The sequence below is a fragment of the Homo sapiens genome, chromosome 19 (assembly GCF_000001405.40).
Source record: "Homo sapiens chromosome 19, GRCh38.p14 Primary Assembly".
In the NCBI taxonomy this organism is placed as follows: domain Eukaryota; kingdom Metazoa; phylum Chordata; class Mammalia; order Primates; family Hominidae; genus Homo; species Homo sapiens.
In genome coordinates, this window is record NC_000019.10 from 58,574,798 (window position 1) to 58,601,756 (window position 26,959).

The window sequence follows — 26,959 nt, forward strand, 5'->3', positions numbered from 1 at the left end:
CTGAGAGTCATGTTTTTAACTGTTTTGAAATTATATTTGGCAGTCTGAAGGGAACCTGTTCTCCGGGCTAGGGGACAAACAGGGAAAAAGAAAATAGTGGCCGGGCGCGGTGGCTCACGCCTGTAATCCTAGCACTTTGGGAGGCCGAGGCGGGCGGATCACGAGGTCAGGAGATCGAGACCATCCCGGCTAAAACGGTGAAACCCCGTCTCTACTAAAAATACAAAAAATTAGCCGGGCGTAGTGGCGGGCGCCTGTAGTCCCAGCTACTTGGGAGGCTGAGGCAGGAGAATGGCGTGAACCCGGGAGGCGGAGCTTGCAGTGAGCCGAGATCCCGCCACTGCACTCCAGCCTGGGCGACAGAGCGAGACTCCGTCTCAAAAAAAAAAAAAAAAAAAAAAAAAAAGAAAATAGTGACACATACCCAGGAAAGGAAGGAGGAAGGGAGGGTGATGTAAGACAAAGACATTAGGCGGCGAGAAAGCCAGCCTTTGGTCAGAAGCAGCTTCTGGCGCCCCTGGCTGGACTCTGTGCGGTGCGGCCTCGTTGCCAAACTACATTTTCCGGCAGTACCCGGGACGCCGGGCGCAGAGCGGAGAGCGTCGCAAGGGGCGGGCCTGACGCAGCCTCCTCCCTGCCCGGCCGTCGCCAGGCAACCTTCCCCCTTCGCGGCCGAGATGGACCCTGGGCTCGGCGTCCTCCGGAAAACTGCACTGTGAGGCGGGGCGATGGGGAAGGGCCGAAGCCCCGCCAGCCCAGCTAAAGCAGACGGCTCGCACTGCGACCCGAAGGTGAGGTTGATCGGCCGCGCTGGGGCCCCGGCTTCGGGGCAGGAGCTGCAGCCCCTCCTCTTGGTTCGGTCGGGGAACTGGGATATGAGGCCACTGTGTCCGCAGCTGGCACGCACCCGAGTGGGCCAATCGGAGCCTTCGGCGGCCCCACGGCTCTCTGGGAAATGTAGACCCGCTACACGGGACGGTACCCGCCTAAGACCATACTGCGCAGGTGCTGATCTGAGTCTGGGTCCCTCCTGGGTCGAGGAGTTCTTTGGCCCAGATCTGCGTGGAGGCGTGTTCGCCCGGCCCTAAGGTCCCTTGCGGGCCTTCTCGGCCTCACAGCGCGTGTCCGCTGTTCGTTCCCCTTCCCTCCTCTGTCTTGGAAATGTAGTCTCGAGGGAGGAGCTTGGTCATCCACCCAGACTTCGTGAGGCCCCCGGGCTTGGGGCTGCCTGTTGAGAGTGGGAGGGAGAGAATGTGTGAATGTGTGGATGAATTAATTTGCAATTATGGGAGCGCAGGCGAAGGTGTGAATGTGGGAGAGAGAAGGATGGGCCCAAGAGTGGTTCAGATTTCGGGGCTTTCCCCGATTTCAAAGCTTGAGTTTGAGCCTTCCCCATGTCCACCCGCCTTTCCCTGTCACTCTAGCTGAGGGCCCTGTGTGCTGTGCCTCCTTGTTTCAAGGCAGGTGCATGGTCCATGGAGGTACTCATCATAGGTGTAGTCATTCCACAAAGAACGGTCAGGCGGCATTTGTTCCTTTTTTCCTTCCTTCCTCCCTCCCTCCCTCCCTCCCTCCCTCCCTCCCTTCTTCCCTCCCTCCCTTCCTCCCTCTCTTCCTTCCTTCCTTCCTCCCTCTCTTCCTTCCTCCCTCCCTTCCTCCTTTCCTCCCTTCCTCCTTTCCTCCCTTCCTTCCTTTCCTTCCTTCGTTCCTGTCTTTTTTCCTTCTTTCCTTCCCTCCCTCCTTCCTTCCTTCCTTCCTTTCCTTCCCTTCCTTTCTTCTATCTTTTTTTTTTTTTTTTTTTTGAGATGGGAGTCTTGCTCTGTCGCCCAGGCTGGAGTGCAGTGGCGCAATCTCGGCTCACTGCAACCTCCGCCTCCCGGGTTCAACCAATTCTCCTGCCTCAGCCCCACCGAGTAGCTGGGATTACAGGCACACGCCACCATGCCCAACTGATTATTATTATTATTATTATTATTTATTATTATTTTTTTGAGATGGAGTCTTGCTCTTGTCGCCCAGGCTGGAGTGCAATGGCAGGATCTGGCCTCACTGCAGCCTCTGCCTCCCTGGTTCAAGCGATTCTCCTGCCTCAGCCTCCCAAGTAGCTGGAATTACAGGCGCACGCCACCATGCCCGGATAATTTTTGTATTATTATTATTACTATTTTTTTTGAGACGAAGTCTTGCTCTTGTCGCCCAGGCTGGAGTGCAGTGGCAGAATCTTGGCTCGCTGCAGCCTCTGCCTCGCCTCCCTGGTTCAAGCAATTCTCCTGCCTCAGCCTCCCGAGTAGCTGGGATTACAGGCACCCACTACCATGCCTGGCTAATTTTTGTATTTTTAATACAGACATGGTTTCGCCATGTTGGCCAGGCTGGTCTGGAACTCCTGACCTCGTGATCCGCCTGCCTCCACCTCCCAAAGTGCTGGGATTACAGGCGTGAGCCACTGTGCCTGGCCTGTTCCTGTTTTTCACAAGCACAGTTTTTAAAAAAAATTTTTACTGTTTTGACCAGGTGTTACATTCACATGGTTCAAAGTGTAAAAGAGACAAGGTGAGACAGACGCACAATAAATAAATAAATAACGGTGGGGGACGGCCCCTGTCTCATAAGGTTGTGTTTGAAAAGAACTGCAGAAGGTGAGGGGAAAAAGCCATGCAGATAACAGGGAAGAGTGCCTGCTCTGGGCCAAAGGAACCATAGGAACAAAAGTCCCTTTGTAGCTGGCACAGTGGCTCACGCCTGTAATCCCAACACTTTGGGAGGCCGAGACAGGTGGATCACTTGAGGTCAGGAGTTTGAGACCAGCTTGGCCAACATTGGTAAAACCCTGTCTCTACTGAAAATACAAAAATCAGCTGGGCATGGTGGCACACACCAGTAGTCCTAGCACCTGGGAAGCTGAGGCAGGAGAATTGCTTGAACCTGGGAGGCAGAGGTTGCAGTGAGCCAAGACTGTGCCATTGCATTCCAGCCTGGGCGGCAGAGCGAGACTCTGTCTCAACAAACAAACAAAACAAAAAAAGCCCCTTTGCTCTGTCTGGAAGATGTGGTCAGGAGTGAGCAGAGTAGAGGAGGAGGCTTTGAGTCTTACAAAGGAGGCAGTGAGGACTGTGGCTTTTACTTGAAGGCCTGGGAGGGCTCCAACAGAGGTCAGGATCTGACTTAGTTTCACTGAATCATTCTTGATCTGGTATGGAGAACCATCATCCCCTTCTATCATTGGGTACTCCACGGTGGTGGTACCAATTAGGGACGGCCCTGCAGGATGTACCTGGGTGTCCTGCCACCTGCCATCTGTGTCTGGGTGGAGCCCCAGTGCCCTGAGAGCAGTGAGGAGGCTATGGCGCTGGTGGAGGACTTCACCCAGATGTTGAAGACTGGTGAGCCACAGGGGTCCAGGGGTTGGCCAGAGGGATAGGGGAATCTATGAGGGATCACAGCTCATGACCTTGGGCCCTGAGTGTCTCCCTCCGTCTGCCTAGGCCCTCAATATCCCTGTCTTGGGGAGGAGGACCTAGAAGCTGTGACGCATTTGGAGACTTCTGCAGCCTCTGAGCCCCCCAAAGGCATGAGCTTGAGGTTGATGTGACTTCTCCTCTCTTGGGGTAGACCAGGCTTCCTTTCCCATCCTTCTTTCCTTCCCCGCAAGGTCACTAAGTGCCTGCCATATGCCAGGCCCTATTGGTCCAGCAGGGAAAGACACTTGGCATTCATGGAGCCTAGTCTGGTTGGAGAAATGGACCATGAGACCATCAGTCACAATTTAGGTATCCTTTCCCTGAAGGAGGTGGGGGAAGAGGAGGTGAGCACAGAGACTGGCCTGGCAGGGAGCAGCTTTGTAGTTTTCAGTGTCTAACATCTTCACTGTGAGCTTGGGTTCCACACGTGTGTATGCGTTTGTGCTTGGGAGGGGGTGACAACTACAAGATATGAGAGAAGGGTGGTTACAGCCACCATTCATCCTGGCATTTGTTCCTCTGTTCACTCGATTGCTCATGCATGACTGTGCAGTGTCTTCTGCCTACGCGATTCTCTGTCAGGAGGTAGAAACTATATCACCTTTTTTTAAAAGCACACCTTTACCAAGTTATAATTGACATACCAAAAAAGTATACAATTCAGGTATTTTTAGTATATTCACAAGGTTGTACAGCTATCACCACCATTTAATACCAGAATGTAATCACAACCAAAAGAAACCCCATGCCCATTAGTAGTCACCCATCAGCCCCCTCCTCTAAGCTCCCGGCAATCACTAATCTGCTTTGTGTCTCTATGGATTTGCTTATTCTGGACATTTCATTAAATGGAATCATACTTTATGTGGCCTTTTATGTCTGGCTTCTCTCAGAGCATAATGTTTTCGAGGTTCACCCATGTTTTAACATGTCAGAACTTCATTTTTATGAGCAAGTGATATTCCATTGTATGGATATGACCCATTTTGTTTATTCATGTATTCTTTGATCAGCATTTGGCTTGTATTTACTTTTCGGCTATTATGAATAATGCTGCTATGGATGTTCATGTACATGTTTTTGTTTGGATGTTTGTTTTTATTTCTCTTGGTTGTATACCTAGAAGTGGAATTGCTGGGTCATATGATAACACTATTTGACCTTTTGAGGAACTGCTAACACACCACTTGTTTTAACAGAGGGAAATTAAGGTAAAAAATGTTACCGAGATATTGAAGGAGTAAAAAAGTACAAAAAGAACCCTAAGATGTCATGTTGGTAGGAACTTCAGGGAACAACATCCATTCCTAGAGCTTTATGAACAAAGGGAAGAGGTTGGGTTTAGTCTTTGAGAGAAGCTCAAAGGAGGGGAACGTGGTGGTGGGGGCACTGGGATCCAGATCCCTGGGGAGGTGTTGCTGCGGGCTGACGCTGGGGTCTCCACAGAGCCTTCATGAAGCTGATTCTACACATACTGGAATAGCTGCAAGCTGGTTTCAGCTACTGCTAAGGGGATTGAAAGCCTTGCTTTTGCAGGACTGGTTTTTCCTTACACATGAATATGAGGGGCGGGGGAGACATCTTGGATGCATATATCTATAGTCACTGTGGGGTGTTGTTTTTTTTTTTCTGTAGTGCTGGGCTCTATTTTCTTTCCTTCCTTCCTTCCTTCCTTTCCTTCCTTCCTTCCTTCCTTCCTTCCTTCCTTCCTTCCTTCCTTCCTCCCTTCCTTCCCTCTTTCTTTCTTTCTTTGATGGAGTTTTGCTCTTGTTGCTCAGGCTGGAATGCAATGGTACAATCTCGCCTCACTGCAACCTCCACTTCCCGGGTTTAACCGATTCTCCTGCCTCAGCTCCCAAGTAGCTAGGATTACAGGCATGTACCATCACACCTGGCTTATTTTATATTTTTAGTAGAGACAGGGTTTCTCCATGTTGGTCAGGCTGGTCTCGAACTCCTGAACTTGGGTGATCCGCCTGCCTTTGCCTCCCAAAGTGCTAGGATTACAGGCATGAGCCACTGCACCCAGCCATGGGCTCTGTTTTCTAAGCATGTCCACCAGCATTTGAGGCATAGTGTCTCCTGAACAATAGCTAGCATATGCCTGCTCTTTAAGGACTAGCCCCCAGTTCTGGTTCCCAGTGTCCCATTGAACAGATGCCTAGATAATATGCACTCTAAATAGGGATTTTGGGCTGGGTACGATGGCTCACGCCTGTAATCCTAGCACTTTGGGAGGCTGAGGTAGGTGGATCACCTGCGGTCAGGAGTTCAAGACCAGCCTGGCCTATATGGTGAAACCCTGTCTCTACTAAAAATACAAAAATTAGCCAGGCATTGCTGGGCGCGGTGGCTTGCGCCTGTAATCCCAGCAATTTGGGAGGCTGAGGCGGGCGTATCACCTGAGGTCGGGAGTTCGAGACCAGCCTGGCCAACATGGTGAAACCCCATCTCTACTTAAAATACAAAAATTAGCCGGGCGTGGTGGTACGCACCAATAATCCCAGCTACTCGGGAGGCTGAGGCAGGAGAAATCACTTGAACCCGGGAGGCAGAGGTTGCAGTGAGCCGAGATTGCCCCATTGCACTCCAGCCTGGGGGACAAGAGCGAGACTTCATCTAAAAATAAACAAAAATTAGCCAGGCATGGTGGCGGGCGCCTATAATTCCAGCTACTCGGAAGGCTGAGGGGGGAGAAGTTAGGGTTAGGGTTAGGCTGAGGGGGGTGATTTGGAAACCCGATGTTCAGTGTGAGGGGCAGGGAAAGCTTATAAAGTCCTAGTGTGTTTACAGAAGCTTGCTGCATTCCTGAGAGTGAAGTTAGTTTAGTGTATGGGGCAAACATCCACTGGGAAGTGAGCCCTGTGACCCTAATATGGCCCGAATCTGCTCCTTAAAGAGAGAGACTTGGTAAATTATCTTTACCAGGTGTTACCCAAGCCTGTCAGCACTCCCCACCAGTAAGCCTTGTGTCCTCATTTTACAGCGCGAGTCATGGCTGGGGCCTTAGTGGCAACAAGTGCTGAGATCAGCGGGCTCAGTAGCAGGAACACAAGCACCCCCTTGCGGTGTCTGGAGGAAGCGGCGCGGACAGTCTCCCGCTCCACCGTGTCGGGCCTGAAGAGGCCGCTGAACGCTCGCGATTACTGAGGCATCTGGTAGGATCGCAAGGCCATCAACCTACAGGTGAAGCTCGAGGCGCTGTGGCGCTTTGAAGCCGGAGAGAAGCTCAGTAGAATCGGGAAGGCGCTGGGGCTGTCCAACTCCACCTTGGCCACCATTCGTGACAACAAGGAAAAGATCTGGGCGAGTTCCCAGGAGGCCACACTGCAGGCGGCCACCAAGTTGACGCGTGGCCGCAGCCTGGTGATGGAGAACATGGAGCAGCTGCTGAGCATGCGGATGGAGGACCAGAGCCAGCGCAACATGCCCCTCAGTGTGGTGCTCATTCGGGAGAAAGCCCACAGCCCGTTCGAGAACCGCAAGCAGGAGCAGGGCGAGGGCGCCTAGCCCGAGAGCTTCGGGGCCGGTCGAGGGTGATTCGCTGGCTTTAAGGCGCGCCACAGCTTGAGCAGCATCGGGGCCAGCGGCCCAAGAACGCAGCGTGCAAGAATCCAGCGTTAATGCGCAGGGTGATCCCGGAGGGCGGCTACACACTCTGGCTGGTGTTCACCATGAATAAGCTCTGGCTGGTGTTCACCATGAATAAGCCCAGGTTCCTCTGTAAGCGCCTGCCGAGAGGACGTTCATTTTCCTGTGGAAGATGAGTCGGCCCCTGGGTCAAAGCCGCCGGAGACCTCCTGACCCTATTGCTCGGTGGCAACGCAGCCGGCGACTTCAAGCTGAAGGCCCTGCTGGGGTACCCCTCGGAGAACCCGTGTTTCCTCAAGGGCTCCTTCAAGCCCAACCTGCCCTTGGTGTGGTGCTCGCACAAGAAAGCCTGGGTACAGCCTGGGTGACAGAGCGAGACTCCGTCTCAAAAAAAAAAAAAAAAGCCTGGGTAACCATGAGCCTCTTCCAGGAGTGGTTCCTGCACTTCTGCTCTACAGTGGAGGGCGCTGCACCCAGTACGACCTTCCCTACAAGGGGCTGCCCATCCTGGACAGCACTCCCGGCCACCCTGGGTGTTGAGACAGAGTCTGGCTCTGTCGCGCAGGCTGGAGTGCGGTGGCGCGATCTCGGCTCACTGCAACCTCCGCCTCCCGGGTTCACGCCATTCTCCTGCCTCAGCCTCCCAGGTAGCTGGGACTACAGGCGCCCGCCACCACGCCCGGCTAATTTTTTTGTATTTTTAGTAGAGACGGGGTTTCACCGTGTTAGCCAGAATGGTCTCGGTCTCCTGACCCCATGATCCACCCGCCTTGGCGTCCCAAAGTGCTGGGATTACAGGCGTGAGCCATGGTGCCTGGCCCTTTAATTCCCCCAATATTTTTTTATCTGCATTAATTTATTATTTCAAGTGAACTTCCATCTCAAATACATGGTTCTCAGACGCTTCCATGAACTCTCAAGTGTGACTTATTACAGCCTGGGGCTCCTTGGAGCACAGTGTGCCAGTGACCTAGTGGAAGGCCATGAGAAAGCCAGGTTCACTGTTCACTGTGCAGCATCTCCCTCCATGGTCTTCCTGGAGCCTATTCCCACTGCACTGAGCATTCCGTGTGTCCAGAGGTAGGGTTAGCAGGGATAGATGGACTTCCTGCTTATTTTCTGTTCACATTTCCACTGACCTTCAATCCTGTAGACTGCAAAGATTGAGCCAGCTGAGCCCCCAAAGAGACTCAGCAGTGCAGAATGTGGGCCTGAGTGGGAGGACTGCCCAGCCGCACACCTTCCAGCTCTGTTCTTCCCGGGCCCTGGATGCTTCTTGCCACGCTGTCCTCTGAAATGACGCTCTGCCCCAGCAGACCTGTGGTAGGTGAGCTAGTGAGGAAGCACACCTGGGCTCTTCCCACCAGGCATCCCAGCCCTGGTGTGGGGTATCCGCATGGTTGCAGGCATCCCCTGGCCAGGCCTGGGTGCTCATTCTCCCTCTCTCTTCTTGTCTCCTCCCCTCTCCCTGCTTTCTCTGCCCTGTCCTCCTCCTTTTTGCTGTTTTCCCCCGGACTCCTGCCATGCCCCCAGACTTTCTTTTTCCCACGGATATGGGCTCATTCCAAGGAAAGGGTGGCATTTGGACACAAGGCCCTAGATCCCACGATGGAGGACTGGGGGGTACCTGATGCCCCTCAGAAAGAGGCCTGCAGGGACAGCACATGGGAAAGCCCCATGGCTTTGTGATCCATCTGGGGATGTGATCCATTTGGGTAAGGACTTGGGTTTCAGGGCATGAGTTGGCTTCCTTGCAGGATGCAGGTCCTTAGGTGGGTGGCCTCTGTCTCCAGCTGTAGGGCCCTGCCAGGAAGCCTCTATATGAGCCTACCTCCCTCCTGCAGGACCAGAGAGGGGTTGTTATGAACAGCCCAGGGGATTGGTTGCACTAAGCTTGTCTTGAAGCTTTGGCTGGGGAGTCCAGGTGCCCATGTCTCTCACCTGCTCCCCATACACATCTCTGCACACCTGGCTGAGGCATTCCCAGACCTAACCTCAGATAATGTGCATGTGATGAACACTCCCAAGTGGCTAGGCCTCTTGCACCTGAGCAGGTGGATTCTGCCCCAGCACTGGGGCTTTCTCTGGGCTGTCCATCATGGGTATATCTCTGGATTCCAGGATTGCTAGTTAGCACCTCACATTTGAGGGTCTGTGCTATTCAGTCTAGAATCAGAGTTGGATGAGAAATCAACTTTGAACACCACCTTTGGGGTGGCTGCATTGGCTCACACCTGTAATCTCAGCACTTTAGGAGGCTGAGGCAGGAGGATAGCTTGAGGCCAGGAGTTCGAGACTAACCGGAGCAACATAGTAAGGCCACATCTGTACAAAAAAAAGAAAGAAAAAATTACCCAGGTTTGGTGGCATGCACTTGTAGTCCCAGTTGTGGGCTGAGGATTATGCAGGTGACAAGGCAAGAGACTGAAGGCACAAACTGTTTCAGTATAATAAAGAAAATAGAATAATAATAGTCATAATTATATATAGAGATGATCATGAACAATTATCAATCATTATAATAAACATTATTAATCATTAGCTTTTATTATTACTCTTTGTTGTGTTACTAATATAACCTAGGAATAAACGGTGTGCTGAAGGGACATTGTGAGAAGTGACCTAGAAGGCAAGAGGTGAGCCTTCTGTCACACTCACATAAGGGCTGCTTGAGGGCTCCTTGGTCAAGTGGTAACGTTAGTGTCTGGGACAGCACCGTTACTTAGCAGACCACAAAAGGGAGTCTCCTTTCCTTGGGGGAGTGAGGGAACACTCTGCTCCACCAGCTTCTTGTGGAAGGCTGGATATTATCTAGGCCTGCCCGCAGTCATCTGGAGGCCGAAACCCCTCCCTGTGGTGCTGTGCTTCAATGGTCACGCTCCTTGTCCACTTTCATGCTCCTCTCACACTCCTGGTTCCTCTTTGAAGTTTGTAGTAGATAGTGGTAGAAGAAATAGTGAAAGTCTTAAAGTCTTTGATCTTATAAGTGCAGAGAAGAAATTGCTGATGTATGCTGCCTTCTCTCTCTGCTTCAGCTACCTAAAAGAGAAGGGCCCCTGTCCTGTAATCACATGACTTGCTTCACCTTGTCAATCACTTAGAAGATTCACCCTCCTTACCCTGCCCCCTTGTCTTGCATGCAATAAATATCAGTGAGCCCAGCTGTTCGGGGCCACTACTGGTCTCTGCATCTTGATGGTGGTGTTCCCCCAGGCCCAGCTGTTTTCTCTTTATCTCTTCGTCTTGTGTCTTTATTGATTACAATCTCTTGTCTCTGCACATAGGGAGAACACCCCCTAAGCCCCGTAGGGTTGGACCCTACATCTAGTTACTCAGGAGGCTGAGGCAGGAAGGTTGAAGTTGAGCCCAGGAGGTTGAGGCTGCAGTGAGCCATGATTGTGGCACTGCACTGAAGCCTGGGTGATAGAGTGAGACCTTGTCTCAAACAGCAACAAACAAATACCATCTTTGGGTATATTAATCAGATGGGGGGAGTCACACTGACATCAGTTGGCACCCACTGGTTAGTGTGTGCCAGGCAGGGAGACTGGGCTGTTTTCAGTAAACTGATCACAGCAGTGAGCTGTGATCGTGCCACTGTACTCCAGCCTGGGTGACAGAGTGAGACCTTATTTCCAAAAAAAAGAGAAGGCATTGGAGTTCAGCTTGTGGTTTTGACAGAGAAATAATAGGATAAATTAATGAAACAAAAAAGTTAACAGTAGAGGATTAATAAAACTAAGTTTTTTTTTTCTAATTTCTTTTCCTTTCCTTTCCTTTCCTTTCCTCTTTCCCTTTCCTTCCTTCCCTTCCCCTCCCTCCCTCCCTCGCTCCCTCCCTTCTTCCCTTCCTACCTCCCTCCCTCCCTCCCTCCCTCTTCCCCTCCTCCCCTCCCCTTTGTATGTAAGTGTAGATGAGGGTGTCTGTGCCTTGTGTTTGTATATGTGAGTATCCACATGAGCATGCCTATGTGTATGAGTGTGTATGTGAGTGTGGTGAGTTGCTTCTGTCCACACATTTGTGTATATGAGTGTGCATGCAAGTGTGCTGAGTGTGAAAGTGTGCCTGTAGACATGTTTGCCTGTGTGTGCGTGTGTCAAACACAGCTGTTTCTGTGTGTGAGTGTGCCTTATCTGTGTGTGTGCACGTGTGTGTGCACGTGTGCACGTGAATGTGTTGAGTGTTCCTGTGTGAACACAGGTGTGTTCCTATGTGTGTTATGTGAGCATGTGCATATGTGTATTCTCGAGGGCTGAGGGACCCAGCCCTACCTTCAGCACCTGCTAACTGTCCCCACACCCACAGCGGGCCCAGCACAGGGATCACATTGTCGGGGTGACCTGGATCCTACTTGAAGCCTTTGAGCTGGACTGTGGCTTTATCCCTGAGGCCAGGCTTCATGTCCAGATGGCCATGCCAGAGGTTGACGTGGCAGAGAAGGAGTGTGACACAGGCCAGTGGAGCGAGTGGAGCCAGCCTGTGTGCTTCCAGGCTCCCCAGAGACAAGGTGGGTGCTTCTGTGGCTGCTGCACTTCCAGAATCTGGGCTGGGTGTCTTCTCCCATGATGACCTCACTCCTCCAACCTTTCACACTCCTGGAAGCCCCTCCCTGAGGCAGCCATGCCCCAGTTGACTTGCTTCCTCTGAAGGTCTGAGGTCTATAGGGAGGACACAAGCTCCTGCCCTAACACATCTCTGCACACCTGGTGGTCTTAGGTTAGGGTTAGGGTCAGGGTCAGGGTCAGGGTCAGGGTCAGGGTTAGGGTTTAGGGTCAGGGTCAGGGTCAGGGTCAGGGTTAGGGTAGGGTTAGGGTTAGGGTTAGGGTTAGGGTAGGGTTAGGGTTAGGGTTAGGGTTAGGGTATTGTAAATAATTTCACATTACTAATAATAAATTATTATTTGTATTACACTATTACGTAATGTAAAGGCTATTAAGACATGTTTGTCTTCAAAGAATGGCCTTGGTTTCTGTGGGCAGTGTCCTCATGGAAAGGTAATGCGTTCCTGCTAAATCATGGACAAAACGGGCTTCCAGGAGCTACAGGCTGCAGCAGCAGCTTCTCCTCTACGTCCTTCACTGCCTCATACTGTTGTTGACTTTGAAAGCTTTTTTCAGTCTAGTTTTATCAACAGAGCTAGTATTTTCATGAGGTTCTACTACATACCAGGTTCCAGAAAGCTAAATGCCTTTTGTTTGTTATTATTCACTAAATAGAAATCACAACTCTCTCCTCATTACTCACACAACAAAATTTAGCTGAGGGAGACTGAGTGACTGTCCCAGGGTCACACAGCTACTAAGAGCAGAGTCATGTTTAGATTCATGTGGGAATACTGAACACAGACATGAACCAGTGGAAACATCCTACGTTCCAAAAGCCTACTCAAGCCATTTGTTCTTATTTTAAGGAAAATCTTTATGCTAATTTTAAACTCCAAATACTTATGAATGGCAGAGATCTACAGATTTGATTCTGATGTAAGAAATGATGGTCACCAGCTGGTTACTGCTACCACCCCACAACCCCGAGCATACTGGACGAATGTCTAAGCCTTGTGGTTAGTGGGGACAATGCTGGTGGAGTCTGAAGTTGTCATGCAGTGACTCATGCAAGCTTAGGCAGATTTGGTGATATATGACACAGAGATGCAAAGAAATGTTGTAGCTGACACACACCGGCTGGCTCTGGGAGATGCAGAAGGAGCACGTCACCCAAAATAGAGCCAGACAGACATCCTTAAGGAAAGAGCCAAGGGGCTGCATCTTAAAGAATGAAGAAAGGATTTGTCATGAGAGATGGGACAGGAAGTTCTTGAGAGGCAGAGGGAGATTGTGAGAATGTTGGGAAGGGAGGAGAGATTCTCGCACATCTGGGAAGCTGACAATCCATCAGCATGTCCAGAAGGAAAATAAGGAGGAGGAGCAGAAATAGATGAGGCTGGATATAGAAGCAGGGCTGAAGCTGTGTCGATTGTGGTAAAGAGTTGTGATTCTATCCAGAAGGCAATAGGTAGCATTCTAAACAGAGATCTTTTAAAACAAGAGTCAGCAAATATTTTCTGCAAGGGGCTAAATGTTAAATATTTCAAGTTTTCCAAGCCATATGGTCTCTCTCTCAATGACTCAGCTCTTCCATTATACCATGAAAGTAGCCAGAGACATTATGTAACACATGTATTGGCTGTGCCCCATTACAACTTTACTTACAAACGCAGACTGTGTCAGACATGGTCCATGCATGGTAGTTTGCCACACTCTGTTTTAGAAAGCTCAGGTTTATGATGTGATGGAGAATGCCTACAAGAGCTCTTGTTTTAAATGGTAGAGTGAACATACACTGGAATTCTATCCTGCTTGACCCAAGCTCTTGATAGCAAAAGGTAGAAAAGATAGATGGTAAACAGATAGATAGATGATAGATAAAGAAAATACATAGCTGTTCCAGAAAACAGAAATGGATAACTTCATGAACCAAAAGCAGAGTAATATACTTTAGAAGGAAGCAGGCCAGAAAACCCACAGTTGCAAAGCAAATAGAATTTCCAGCTGCCTCTTGTAGCCCCTTCCTGGAAGTAGTCACAGCCCAGGGTGTTTGACTTCTTCCTCTGTTTTTTGTTTGTTTGTTGTTTGCTTTTCTCTGGGGTTTTTGTTGTTGTTGTTTGCTTTTTTTAAAAAAAATTCCCTTTCCCTGCTTTTTTGTCACAGTAGCCTTTGTCACTTCAAACACTGCAAGTGTTCTTTAAAAAAAATTATATCAACCTTTCAATTAAAATGCAACATGTCTGAAACTTGGTATCTGGAGAGGTGAGTTGGACAAAGGAGCCCTTGTTACTGCACGTTTTCATTCTTCAAATTTCACCTTGCACGCAGTAACAGACAGTGCACAAAGCCACTTCCTTATGGACGGAAATTCTGAAATCCTTTTATGCCTGGCCTTTCCATCCTTCATCTTCCCCTCTCTCACACTGTGAAGGATCGTATTGGACATTTTTGTTTTAATGTCAGTGACAGGGGAACACAGGTAGCTCTAATATAGCTGTGACCCAGATGCTTCTGTTTCTAGCACGTATTTATTTTGCAGCAAACATTTACATCCATGATGTTTTACTGTCTTTTGAAAATAATTAGGCAATATCTCATCTGAGGTAGGATGTTTCTAGGGGTTGTGTTCTGAGGGAGGAAAACTAATCTGTTCTCTTTCCACTGCATTCTAGGAACAGTAAGAGGACCTTGTGCATGAATAATTTGTTTCCACACTACAGAGTGGGTAATAAGCAGATTAGTAAAAACAATTCTGCTTCACTTCAATAACAGCCTCCTCCAACTCATTTTTTCTCAACAAACTTATTTTTCCAGCAGAAGAATCCCAGACTTCTTAGAGAACCCAGTGACTTTTTGCACCTTAAATCTGTGAAATCCTCATGTTTTCTTCTGCCGTATCCATAGTTCAAACAAAGATGAGGCAAAGCTAGATGCATTCCTGAAGGAACCCAAGAAATTCCTCTCTTTATTTCTCTGGAATGAAATGAATTCTCTAGACCACCAGTTCTAACCTTCAAAAACCAAACCTGTTTGTGAGATCTCCTTCAAATACTACTGTAGACCCCAGTGTTTATTCATTAAATTTTTAAAATATTTGTTTTATTTGGAATCCATGTATTTGTAATTTTAGTGTTTGTATTAATACAAGGGAGAAATGTTTAAATCTGTCTATGCCATATGTGCCTCTGGCTTATTGCCCAATTAATTGTAGCCTCAGGCTAAACTTTGGTTTCTGTCTTTAATTTTTGTCAGAAGAAATATAACTGATCTCAAAACATCTGCTTTTATTGTAGGGGCTCGTGCTGCCATCTCCATTCCTCTCTCTTTTCTTGCAATCTGGGTGGAAGTTCTTTAATATGAACATTTCAACCACCTTCATTCTACCATGTCCACTATCAGCACATTCAAACTTATCCAGCCAAGGCTGTCATCTTAGGCCAGGGATTTTTTAGGAATCTATTATGCTGTGATGCGGCTGGCACCCCTTTGACTCACTGTATCACCCCAGGGTTCTTTTCATTTCAGAAGCCCAAGAGGGCAGAAAAAGAAATAGGTGAGCAATTAAACCCTCTGAGTCAGGAGCGTCTCCCCTTGCGTTAAGCAATGTTGTAGAACATCGTGTTTAGCAAGCTCCTAGCAGATGAGCCACGTGGCTGCTGAGCACACACGCCTGCTTGCTGCTGTGAGCTCAGGCACCATCATCATGTCTTTTCCATCTCTGGAGGGAATTGTAAGGGCCACTTAATAACCTGTAAATCACAGAGAGTTAAAGGTGCTTCCCCAAAACACTGATGACAGAATGAAAGGTGAGGAGTGTTAGCCACAGGTCACAAAAGTGCAGGAAAGTCTCTCAGTGTGGGTTGTTGAAGAAATGCAGGTCTTTTTTCTTTTGGAAGTCTCCCTAGAATGGGGTCAAGGACTCTGCCCATTCTAGGATGAAAAATTGGGATATTAGACACCTTCAGATATTTATCCCCAGCTTTCATTTTGGGCTCTTAATTAGTTTGTTCATCCATCACAATCTCAAATGCTAAGCAGGGCATTTGAATCTCTCCACAGTGCAAATCAGCGCCGTCTTTTAAAGTTGAGTTTCTTATTATTCTCACCTGATATACCTTATTTATCCCACACCCACCCCAATAACATATCGTGCTCACTGTTATCTTTGAGGCAACCCTTGAATTTTACTCAGCCTGGAGCGCTCTTCACGTCTTGTCCAGAGCCAGTTCGGACTCATTCTTCAGCCGTGCATCAGTCAGTGGGGGCTAGCTTAAACTGTGGTGACAAACAACCTCCAAATTTCAGTGGCTCAAAAATCTTCTTCCTTATTTATTTACATCTCATGACTGGTCAGGTGAGAGGTAGCTCTGTGCTGTGTCATCCTAACACAGGAATCCAGAAGGAAGGAGGGACCGTCAATGAGATCCCCATTGCTATAGAAAAGAGAAAAAAGCATGCGGAATAGAACGCTGTTTCTTGGAGATTTCTCCTGAAAAAGTCACATGTTATTTCTTCTCACCTCCATCGGCAAAAAAAAAAAAAAAAAAAAAAAAGTCATGTGGCCATGGGAAAATTTAAGTAGGTGGGATGGAACAGTCAGAATGCATTCATAAAAAATAAACTGAAAATATTTGGAGAACAGCACCAATGACTATCATGAATGCCAACTTACATCCCTAACAACCCAGTGCTGTTACCCTCCAAACTTTTTATGTCTTGCAAAGTATTAGAACTTCATATCTGAAGCCATACCACTCAGAGGGAATGCAAGATACATATTGACATCTCCTTTAGGATGTCCATAGAGAATTCAAGAAAAGAAATAATTTAAAAGTGCTTTTGGGTACAGCTATTTAGCACTAGAGGGTAAGAGTAGAGATAGATTGTAAAGATAATAATAGGGTTAGGCATAGGATTAGGATCTGGGTCAGAGTCAGGGCTGGAAGTATGGTTAGAGGTGGGGTCATGGTCAGGGTCAAGATCAAAGTCAGGGTTAAAGTAAGGGTCAGAATTAGGGACCAGGGTAGGGATCAGGATTTAGCTTCAGGCTCAAAGTCTTGGGACAGGGTTAGGGTTAGAATTAGAACCAGAGCTTTGTTCTCAGGACCCACCCGAGGATGGGTCACCATGGCTTTGGAGCACCTGGTAGTGTGGCATGTCCACAGTGAAGACCAGAGTTTCGTTGTCCTTAAGACTGACCTGGGAGACGTGGCTGGAGGCCATTGAGGAAGGTGAGGCAAAAGCTTCCTGTCTGCTCCCCGTGTGCTGAGGAGGGAGCTCTGCCATGGGCTTTACTTTCACACGTTATATTCTACAAGTCTTGTTTTACAAAAGCATCCCTTCCTTGAGGCTTCGGCTGCTCATCGCTGCTCATCATCATAGCGTGCCATAACATATAGTAAGATTTGGGTTTGTTTCTGGGAGAGATCTTGGCATAGAGAAAGGAGAAATGCTTAGAGCCACCATCAAGACAGTTGGGATGAAAGCTGGGGATAGGCAGAGGCTGGAGGAAACATGTGCACCCCTTGTAAACACTTATTCATGTTTTAGTTATTCACTTAAAGTGTTAAATTAGTAAAAATAGTATTGAAAAATTGAAAAGTAGGCATATTAAAACTTGTAACACTATTTAAGCTTAGATATATTATTTGTACCTCATCAACATTTTTTATTTTGTTGAGAAAGTGTAAGGTTAATTGGCAGCATATTTCTAATAGTAGATAGAATAATGTCTGTTTTATAAACATTGACATCCTACATTACATGTGTGAACCCTGAAAATCTGAGACAGCTCTCAGATTTTTTAGAAAGTTTATTTTGCCAATCTTGAGGATGTGCGCCCGTGATGCCTCCCCAGGAGGTCCTGACAACATGGGCCCAAGGTGATCGGGGCACAGCTTGGTTTTATACACTTTAGGGAGACATGAGACATCAATCAATACGTGTAAGATGTACATTGGTTCAGTCCAGAAAGGTGAGAAGGCCAGACAGGGGGCTTCCAGGTCATAGGTAGGTAAGAGACAAATGGTTTCATTCTTTTGCATTGCTGATTACCCTCTCCAAATGAGGCAATCAGGTATGCATTTATCTCGGTGAGCAGATGGGTGACTTTGGATACAATGGGAGGCGGGTTTGCCCTAAGCAGTTCCCAGCTTGGCTTTTCCCTTTAGCTTAGTGATTTTGATTCCCAAGATTTATTTTCCCTTCATAAGGTTTTCCTATGAGCATTAATTATTCATTGTGTATTTTATCACACAAATAAGGCACAGATTTTTAAAAAATCATCAACTTCCTGGCTACCTATATAGACATAATTACATAGAAGCTCAACTAAATTTGCAAACATTCCAGAGTTTGGGTTTCCAATAATTCTTTGTGATTCTTTAAAAGGTAAAGTATTTTTTTCCCATAAAACATAGCAACATTTAAAATCACCCGTAGAATGTCCTGCCATTTTTGTTTCTGTAGTTTCCTCATTTTCTGCAAAGCCTCGCTGAGGAAATTGACTTTGAATATCCTTTTACACTCTTCTGTTTTAGAAAGCATTGTGGTAAAACATTGAATCATCATGGTCATAAGTTCTGTTCACATTCTTTCTTGCTTTGAATATTTTTTCCCAGTGGCCAATATTTGATTCTGTTGTATCATGGCTAAAAGGTAGGCATGGCAACAAAATAAAGACAGGAAGTCTTTGGAATAAGTGATCCCATCACAATGAATCAATTTGCCATTGGAACATATTTTTACAAAGTCACTCTTTTGAAAATATTTAGCTATGAATTAAAACAGAGTCTGTATGGTTAATATTTTTCCTGGTCTAAGGTGAACAGCATTTTAGAGAATGAACTCAGGACACAACCACAGCACAAGAAAAATGTGATAATTAAGTTTACACATATGTGTTACTACTGCAACAGAAAACATGTAAAGAACATTTGATTTATGTATCAGTCTGCACTGTTTAATTTTTTGTGTCATAAATACTCTTATTTAAAAAAACAGGACTAGTTAACAGTGTCAATTACTAGTAATTCATGGTATAAATAATTAAACAAGGAAGTGTTCAAAAAAAACAGTGTTTTAAATAAAGTTTTATTTTACATCATCTTTTTTACTTACACAGAAATTGTCAAAAAAAAGCAGAGATTTCCCATGTAGCCGCAACCTAGTTTCCTCTCTTATTAACATCTTCTATCAGTGTGTCTCACATGGCTTATTAATATCTTACATAATTTGTCACAGTTAATGAACCAATACTGATAGACTATTATTAATTGAAGTTCATATTTCATTTGGATTCCCTTAGTTCTATCTTACTCTGACCCAGGATCCCATCCAGGATCCCGCATGACATGTAGACATCACGTGGGCTCTTCCTGGCTGTGACAGTGTGTCAGGCTTTCCATCTCATGATGACCTTCATAGCACTGAGGAGGATTGGTCAGGAATGTTGTAGAATGTCCCCCATTGTCACTTCATGTTCTCAAGGTGAACTGTCACCTTTGATGTTCACTTGGATCATTTGGCAGAGCTAATGTTTGTCAGGTTTCTCCACTGTGAGGTTATTTCTCCTCCTTGTCCGTACTGCATGTGTTCTTTTGGAGCAAGTCACTATGCAGAGCCTCACTCTGTCAGGAGTTGGCTCCACCTTCTTGACGGCTGAGTGTCTACATCAATTATTTGGAATTCTTTTGCAAAGGAGATTTCTATGCAACTCCATTTGCTTATTCACCTAGGTATACAAATACAGACACCTAGATAATTACTTTAAGCTTTAGTTATTATTCAACACTACAGTATTATGTTGCACAATTCATTCCTGTGTTGGCCATCAGTAGCTGTTTTTATTGGCTCTTATTTTTCTTTGATATGTTTTAATTTTTTTAGTACTTACTTTCTGATACTTCCAGATTATCCTGGCTCCTATATTTACTGTCCCAGTTCTAGTATCAGACATTTCTTCAAAGAGCCTGATTACTTTCAGAATGGTAGGAAAACTTACATCTGGCTGCTGAATGAGCACATTGTATCTTCTCCCTCATTGGCAATGCTAGGAAGTATATGTGTGTGTCTAACCTACCTATACACACCTAATTATAAAGTTTTCTATGTAGAACTGTGTGTGTCTATATTAAACTAAACATAAGTTTACGTTGATGTCTCCACCTCTGATCTACTATCACATGAATCATTCTAGCCTTCTCGCCTTGCTAATTTGTAACCTCCCACTTCAACAGTAAGAAACCTGGTTCCCACCATCTGTGACTTATGTAAGTCATTGTTTTATTCCAGATACAGACACTGTGGTTTTACAATTGTTCACAATTGCTTCTGTTGGAAAGAACTTTATAAAATGGAATCCAATAATGAAGTATAGTTCATGTGCCTTCAGCCTACAGATTCTATTCATTTTCAAAGTTTTTACCTAGATTTGTGTCTTAGTCCATTTTGTGCTTCTGTAACAGAATACCTGAGGCTGCGTAATTTATAAGTAAAACAGTTTCATTTGTTTGACAATACTGGTGGCTGGAATGTGTGAGATTGGGCAGTTGCATCTGGTGGGGCCTCAGTCTTTTTCACCTCATGGTGGAAAGTGGAAGGGGAGCAAGGGGTGCACCAGAGATCACACAGCAGAAGTGAAAGCAAGAGGGAAGCCAAGGAAGCCAGGCTCTTTTTAATTACCTGCTCCTGCAGGAATTATCTATTCCTGTGAGAACAGAACTCACTCACCCCCATGGAGGACATTAATCTATTCATGAGGGATCCGTCCCCAGGACCCAAACACCGTCCACTAGGCCCCACCGCCCCACACTGACACAGTGGGAGTCAAATTTCAACATGAGTTTTTGTGGGGACAAACCACATCCAAACCATAGTAATTTGTAGCATAAATTCTTTTTCACATGATGTATTCTGTCCTGGGATACTCCACATCCTGAGTAATTTGATTTAATTTGAATAGAGTTTGCTTTAACCATTTGGCTGTAAAATTCTGCATATTTCGACAAATGCATTGTGGCAGATATCCCACTATTAAAGTATCATATGGAATGCCTCAAACCCCCACCCCATGGAGCCAATGGCTTCCCATCTGTGTAGTTTGCCTTCTCCAGTGTCTCATTAAATGAGGTCACACTGTGTGTATCCTCCTCAGACTGTCTTCTTCCACTTAGCAATGTGCATGCAAGATTCACTCATGTCTTTGTGTGTGTTGATATCTTGTTCCTTTCTATGGCTAAATAGTATTCCATTACATGAATGTAGCAGAATTTGGTTATGCATTTTGGGGAGCAGAACCTTCCTCTTCTAACTTTGTTCCAGGGTTGGAGACCTTCAAGTTAACTGACAATAGATACATTAGTAGGAGAGACAATACTTGGCTTCTTGTTCCCCAAGCATCATTGTGGGACAAAATTCATCAGATGGCAGGATCCAGTTTACAAAGAGGTAAAAATAGCCCAGAAACAAGAAACAAGACTAGAATCTGATAACTCACAATGGCTATAGTTTTCCTTTAAAAAATTTTTTTTTGAGACAGGGTCTGGCTCTGCCGCCCAGGCTGGAGTGCAAAGGTGCAATCTCAGCTCACTGCAACCTCTACCTCCTGGGTGCAAACGATCCTCCCTCCTCAGCCTCCTGATTACCTGGGACTACAGGCACATGCCGTCATGCCCATCTAATTTTTGTATTTTTGGTAGAGACGGGGTTTCACCATGTTGCCCAGGCTGATGTTGAACTCCTGGCCTTCCAAAGGGCTGTAATTATAGGCATGTGCCACCATGCCCGGCTGTGTTATACTTTTCCTTTGAAAGATAAAATTTCTCTCTGTAGTAACCATCATTTTTGATCATAATCAAAGTAAGACTATTCTTGTTTTAAAAATAAGTCTAGTTTTGTTAGATTTTGCTTGATTATTTACGTAAGTGCAGCAAGAACAGGAGATGACCACGTAGGTGCTTTCAGGTTTCTTTGCTGGAAGTTTTCATACAGAATCTCAGATTTGACTTTTAAAGGCCTTATTCAGGCTAAAAGCCAAGCCAAGAACATACTATCAAATTTCAGCTGCAGTCCTTATAGCTTTGTGTGAATTCCTCTCTTCTTGAGGCCCCAAAATATCCCTAAATTCCTGGGCCTACCAGGAAATGACCTTCCTTACTAACCTATAAGGCTGTGAACCCTGTAATCTAGGTATCAGGCTGGGTTTTCTCAGAGTGCTGTTGGGAATGAAGTTTTTTATGTTCCCCCCCCCAAAAAAAAGAACTAACATGGGAACAAATGATCTCTTAGCAAGGCGAGCTTTATTTTTCTGCACAAAGGGTGCTACTCAATAGCTGTCCAGCTACAAGAGCACACCAAACAAAGGAGACAGAGTTACTTATAACCTGACGTGTCTACCCTACTGCTGTGTCCAGTTTCCATTGGCTGGAATAGGACCTCCCATTTTACACTTTACCCGATTGGCTGTTAGTTTAAAACTTTCTTAATTAGGTAAGGGGAATAGAAGAAAGAAAGAAAAGGAAGTTGCCCAGGGATAGTTAAGGAAGCACCTCCAAATAAGGAATGGCATGCACTATGGGCTGGGGCTTGTCTAGTTCTGTCCAGGCATGCTGGAGCAAGCTAGGACAAGTGATTTGGAACACACACACACACACACACACACACACACACACACACATATAAAAATAGTGGGTAGTTGTGACTTTATAATCTTTGAGGAAGAACTTTCCTCAAAGTTTTCCACAGTGCTTTGTAAGCATTGTCTCCATAAAAGTCAACCTTACTTCCTTAAAATTGCTGGTCATAACTGATCTTAGGTACACTCCCTAAATATGATATTCCAGTAAAAACCTTGATAATATAACCAAAATTTCCAATTATGTCCTGTTATAAGATGAATAGATTCTTATTGGACTTTTGCTAACAACAATATCATCGTGGAAATAAGAGTATTCAGTAAGGATTTCAAAATTCTGGAAAAATCAGGCAAGAAAAAAAGATAAACGCTTCATTTCTGTTTACAAAAGTATAATCTACTAAATTGTTGTAAGTTACAGTTAGAGTAAGAGAAAGAGATTTCTTAAATCCAGAAACTAGAATATTAACCAGCAATGCTCCAAAAAGCTATACAATTATAATCAATTTTCATCAGTTCATTCAGTGCCATGTAATCAATTCCAGTCTTGTGGATCTTGAGTTAGCAGTGTCATGAACCCATCAGTTTCCCAACCGGACTTCTGGAGACCTTAACTGAGTCAAGTGTATGGTCTTAAAGTTATTTAAGCAATATCATCAGAAGCCTATAACCAGAGTACCTGTCATAGTCTTTTCTGTGAGTCTCAGGGGGAGTCCTGTCTTGGAGACGAACATTCTGACCTGTAGTTGATTGCAGGAGCTTTCAGGAAAGCATCAGGGGGAAATAATATCTAAATGACAAAAAGTATGAAATGGCTGTGATGAAAGATCTGATGAGAGTTCATTATACCACAGCTGACAAGGATATTCGATTTTTTCTGTGGCAGACAACATTTATTTATTTATTTATTTAGAGACAGAGTCTTGCTCTGTCGCCTAGGCTGGAGTGCAGCGGTGCGATCTCGGCTCACTGCAAGCTCTGTCTCCTGGGTTCACGCCATTCTCCTGCCTCAGCCTCCCGAGTAGCTGGGACTACAGGTGCCTGCCATCACGCCCGGCTAATTTTTTATATTTTTAATAGAGATGGAGATTCACCGGGTTAGCCAGGATGGTCTGGATCTCCTGACCTTGTGATCCACCCGCCTCAGCCTCCTAAAGTGCTGGGATTATAGGCATGAGCCACTGTGCCTGGCACAACATTTAAAGTAATAATTGGAATTATGACTCATTACTCTATAGTGGCACATAGCATGGATAAGGAGGACATTGACAAACTTCCAGGAATTTTATATAATTTCTGAAAACATAACATTTTACCCATACAAATATAACACAGGGAAGGTTAGGTATCTCTTTTTATTTGTATCTTCTGTATGGTTTTCCTTATAAAAAATGCAACCTACTTTACTTGCGAAACATGCCCTACTTTTCTTGCATGCTTTGCATAGAGTTGTTTCTAGTTATTCTATTATTTCTAGTAGTTTTATTTACATATATTGATTATAATTTTAATACTTAGTAATCTTTTATTTTCCAGAGAAAACTAGGAAGTAGACAGTTATAAACTGTCATATATTAGCATTCTATAGTAGGTTAGAAAATGTATGAATATACCATCTCCCAACATCTAGAGGGATGTGTTTCCTCATAATACAATTCCTCAGTGTGGCAGAAAAAAACATGTTTATTAACGGGCCAAAATATCTTTAGTCTCTCTGTAAAAATAGGAAGCCAAAAGTATATAAACTTGAATTATTTATGTTCAGTAATTAATGTTTTAGTATTGTATCTTATTTATAAATGGTCTAGATATTTAATGCAAATCTTTTACTTAGCTTAACTTTAAGGTTAAAAATTACCAAAAGTACTTTGGAAACTATTCTTAGGCAGATTTACTGTAAACAAATTATTTTTGAAATAATGTTTTTCGCTTTTCACAAGACGGCACCGAAAGCGAAGGAAGCTCCTGCTCCTCCTAAAGCCGAAGCCAAAGCGAAGGCTTTAAAGGCCAAGAAGGCAGTGTTGAAAGGTGTCCGCAGCCACACGCAAAAAAGAAGATCCGCATGTCACTCACCTTCAGGCGGCCCAAGACACTGCGACTCCGGAGGCAGCCCAGATATCCTCGGAAGAGCACCCCCAGGAGAAACAAGCTTGGCCACTATGCTATCATCAAGTTTCCGCTGACCACTGAGTCGGCCGTGAAGAAGATAGAAGAAAACAACACGCTTGTGTTCACTGTGGATGTTAAAGCCAACAAGCACCAGATCAGACAGGCTGTGAAGAAGCTCTATGACAGTGATGTGGCCAAGGTCACCACCCTGATTTGTCCTGATAAAGAGAAGAAGGCATATGTTCGACTTGCTCCTGATTATGATGCTTTCGATGTTGTAACAAAATTGGGATCACCTAAACTGAGTCCAGCTGGCTAACTCTAAATATATGTGTATCTTTTCAGCATAAAAAAATAATGTTTTTCATAAGAATGACAACTTAATTAGAATCAAATCTATAAGCTTTAAGATTTTACGTTTCTAGTAAGTATAATATTAGCTTATTTGACTAGAACTCAAGCAGAATAGGAATTTATGCTTGTTTTATATTCAATAATGATAATTTTGAAGATATAGTTGTTTTATTACACCAAAAATACTATATTAATCTTATTTAACTAAGTTTTATCCAAATCATGTTAACTTAAGAAACATTTGATCAGTTCCTATATTTCTAGGAGTTTGGTGAATATTTATTTATAAATGCTTATTTTTTTCCAAGCCAAGTTAGAATAGAGCACTTTTAGAGGATTTCATAAATGAATTTTGTAATGCTCTCTGGAGTTAAGAAAATATCACATATACATAACATACATTAATAGATACACAAACACAAATAGAGATTTCATAGCTTTCATCCTGAAATTTCAGCCATGAATCAGGCATAAATATTCTGATGGTTAATTTCAGACATCTACTTGATCGGATTGAGAGACACACATAGCTGGTCAAACACGATTTCAGCCATGAATCAGGCATAAATATTCTGATGGTTAATTTTAGACATCTACTTGAGTGGATTAAGAGACACACATAGCTGGTCAAACATGATTTCAGCCATGAATCAGCCATAAATATTCTGATGGTTAATTTTAGACATCTACTTGAGTGGATTAAGAGACACACATAGCTGGTCAAACACAATTTCAGCCATGAATCAGGCATAAATATTCTGACGGTTAATTTTAGACATCTACTTGATCGGATTGAGAGACACACATAGCTGGTCAAACACGATTTCAGCCATGAATCAGGCATAAATATTCTGACGGTTAATTTTAGACATCTACTTGAGTGGATTGAGAGACACACATAGCTGGTCAAACACAATTTCAGCCATGAATCAGGCATAAATATTCTGACGGTTAATTTTAGACATCTACTTGAGTGGATTGAGAGACACACATAGCTGGTCAAACACGATTTCAGCCATGAATCAGGCATAAATATTCTGACGGTTAATTTTAGACATCTACTTGACTGGATTAAGAGACACACATAGCTGGTGAAACACGATTTCAGCCATGAATCAGGCATAAATATTCTGACGGTTAACTTTAGACATCTACTTGACTGGATTAAGAGACACACATAGCTGGTCAAACACGATTTCAGCCATGAATCAGGCATAAATATTCTGACGGTTAACTTTAGACATCTACTTGATTGGATTGAGAGACACACATAGCTGGTCAAACACAATTTCAGCCATGAATCAGGCATAAATATTCTGACGGTTAATTTTAGACATCTACTTGACTGGATTAAGGGACACACACAGCTGGTCAAACAATTTCAGCCATGAATCAGGCATAAATATTCTGACAGTTAATTTTAGACATCTACTTGAGTGGATTAAGAGACACACATAGCTGGTCAAACACGATTTCTGGGCATATCTATGAGGGTGTTTCTGGAAGACACTGAGATAACCATGACCCAATGTGGATGGGCACTGATATGGTTTGGCTGTGTCCCCACCCAGATCTCATCTTGAATTGTAGTTCCTGTAATACCTACATGTCGTGGGAGGGACCCAGTGGGAGGTGACTGAATCATGGTGGTGGTTACCGCCATGCTGTTCTCATGACAGTGAGTGAGTTCTCATGATCTGATGGTTTTATAAGGGGCTTTTCCCCTTTGGGTCAGCACTTCTTGTTGCTGCCATGTGAAGAGGGATAGCTTTGCTTCCCCTTCTGCCATGATTGTGAGGCCCCTGCAGCCATGTGGAACTGTCAGCCCATTAAACCCCTTTGTTCTTTATAAATTGCTCAGACTCAGGTATTTCTTCATAGCTGTATAAAAATGGATGAATACAGGCACCATCCAATTGGTTGAGAGCCCAGATAGAATAACAAGGAAGAGGAAAGGTGAATTATCTCCTTCTGAAATGGAAACATCCTTCTTCTCCTGCCCTTGACATCAGAACTTCAGGGTCTCAGACCTTTGGCCTCACAATCAGAGTTACACCATTGGCTTCCCCGATTCTGAGTCCTTTGTATCTGGAGTGAGCCATGCTACCAGCTTTCCTGGTTCTCCAACTTGGAGACAGGCTATTGTGGAACTTCTCAGCCTCCATAATTATGTGAACCAGTTCCCCTAATGAATCTTCTCTCATCTATCTACATATATCCTATTGATTCTGCCTTTATGGAGACCCCTGCCTAATGTGATTACAATA

At 45.0% G+C, this 26,959-nt stretch overlaps 1 long non-coding RNA gene and 2 pseudogenes across 2 annotated transcripts, besides 4 other annotated features; all 3 read left to right on the forward strand.

Annotated features, from left to right (window-relative positions):
• The first annotated feature begins 601 nt into the window (after positions 1–601).
• Positions 602–9,598, forward strand: CENPBD2P (CENPB DNA-binding domains containing 2, pseudogene; annotated as a pseudogene). The gene is made up of 2 exons (NR_026052.1): positions 602–791; positions 6,448–9,598. The product of NR_026052.1 is annotated as a CENPB DNA-binding domains containing 2, pseudogene (transcript).
• Positions 869–978: a silencer, noted in NCBI's record as "silent region_11097". NCBI's record gives its function as "represses an Ori minimal core promoter by ATAC-STARR-seq in GM12878 lymphoblastoid cells {active_cell/tissue: GM12878}" and the evidence as "EXISTENCE:reporter gene assay evidence [ECO:0000049][PMID:35858748]".
• Positions 1,129–1,278: an enhancer, noted in NCBI's record as "active region_15214". NCBI's record gives its function as "activates an Ori minimal core promoter by ATAC-STARR-seq in GM12878 lymphoblastoid cells {active_cell/tissue: GM12878}" and the evidence as "EXISTENCE:reporter gene assay evidence [ECO:0000049][PMID:35858748]".
• Positions 6,944–7,447: an enhancer, noted in NCBI's record as "H3K27ac-H3K4me1 hESC enhancer chr19:59093108-59093611 (GRCh37/hg19 assembly coordinates)". NCBI's record gives its function as "activates a minimal SCP1, AML or CMV promoter by ChIP-STARR-seq in naive H9 embryonic stem cells {active_cell/tissue: H9 hESC(naive)}" and the evidence as "EXISTENCE:reporter gene assay evidence [ECO:0000049][PMID:30033119]".
• Positions 9,599–11,469: 1,871 nt separating the features above from the next.
• On the forward strand, positions 11,470–14,759 carry LOC107987272 (uncharacterized). Its single transcript, XR_001754025.2, has 2 exons — positions 11,470–11,559; positions 14,269–14,759. It is a non-coding gene; the product is annotated as an uncharacterized LOC107987272 (long non-coding RNA).
• RPL23AP79 (ribosomal protein L23a pseudogene 79) lies at positions 24,159–24,687 on the forward strand (annotated as a pseudogene).
• Positions 26,039–26,540: an enhancer, noted in NCBI's record as "OCT4 hESC enhancer chr19:59112203-59112704 (GRCh37/hg19 assembly coordinates)". NCBI's record gives its function as "activates a minimal SCP1, AML or CMV promoter by ChIP-STARR-seq in primed H9 embryonic stem cells {active_cell/tissue: H9 hESC(primed)}" and the evidence as "EXISTENCE:reporter gene assay evidence [ECO:0000049][PMID:30033119]".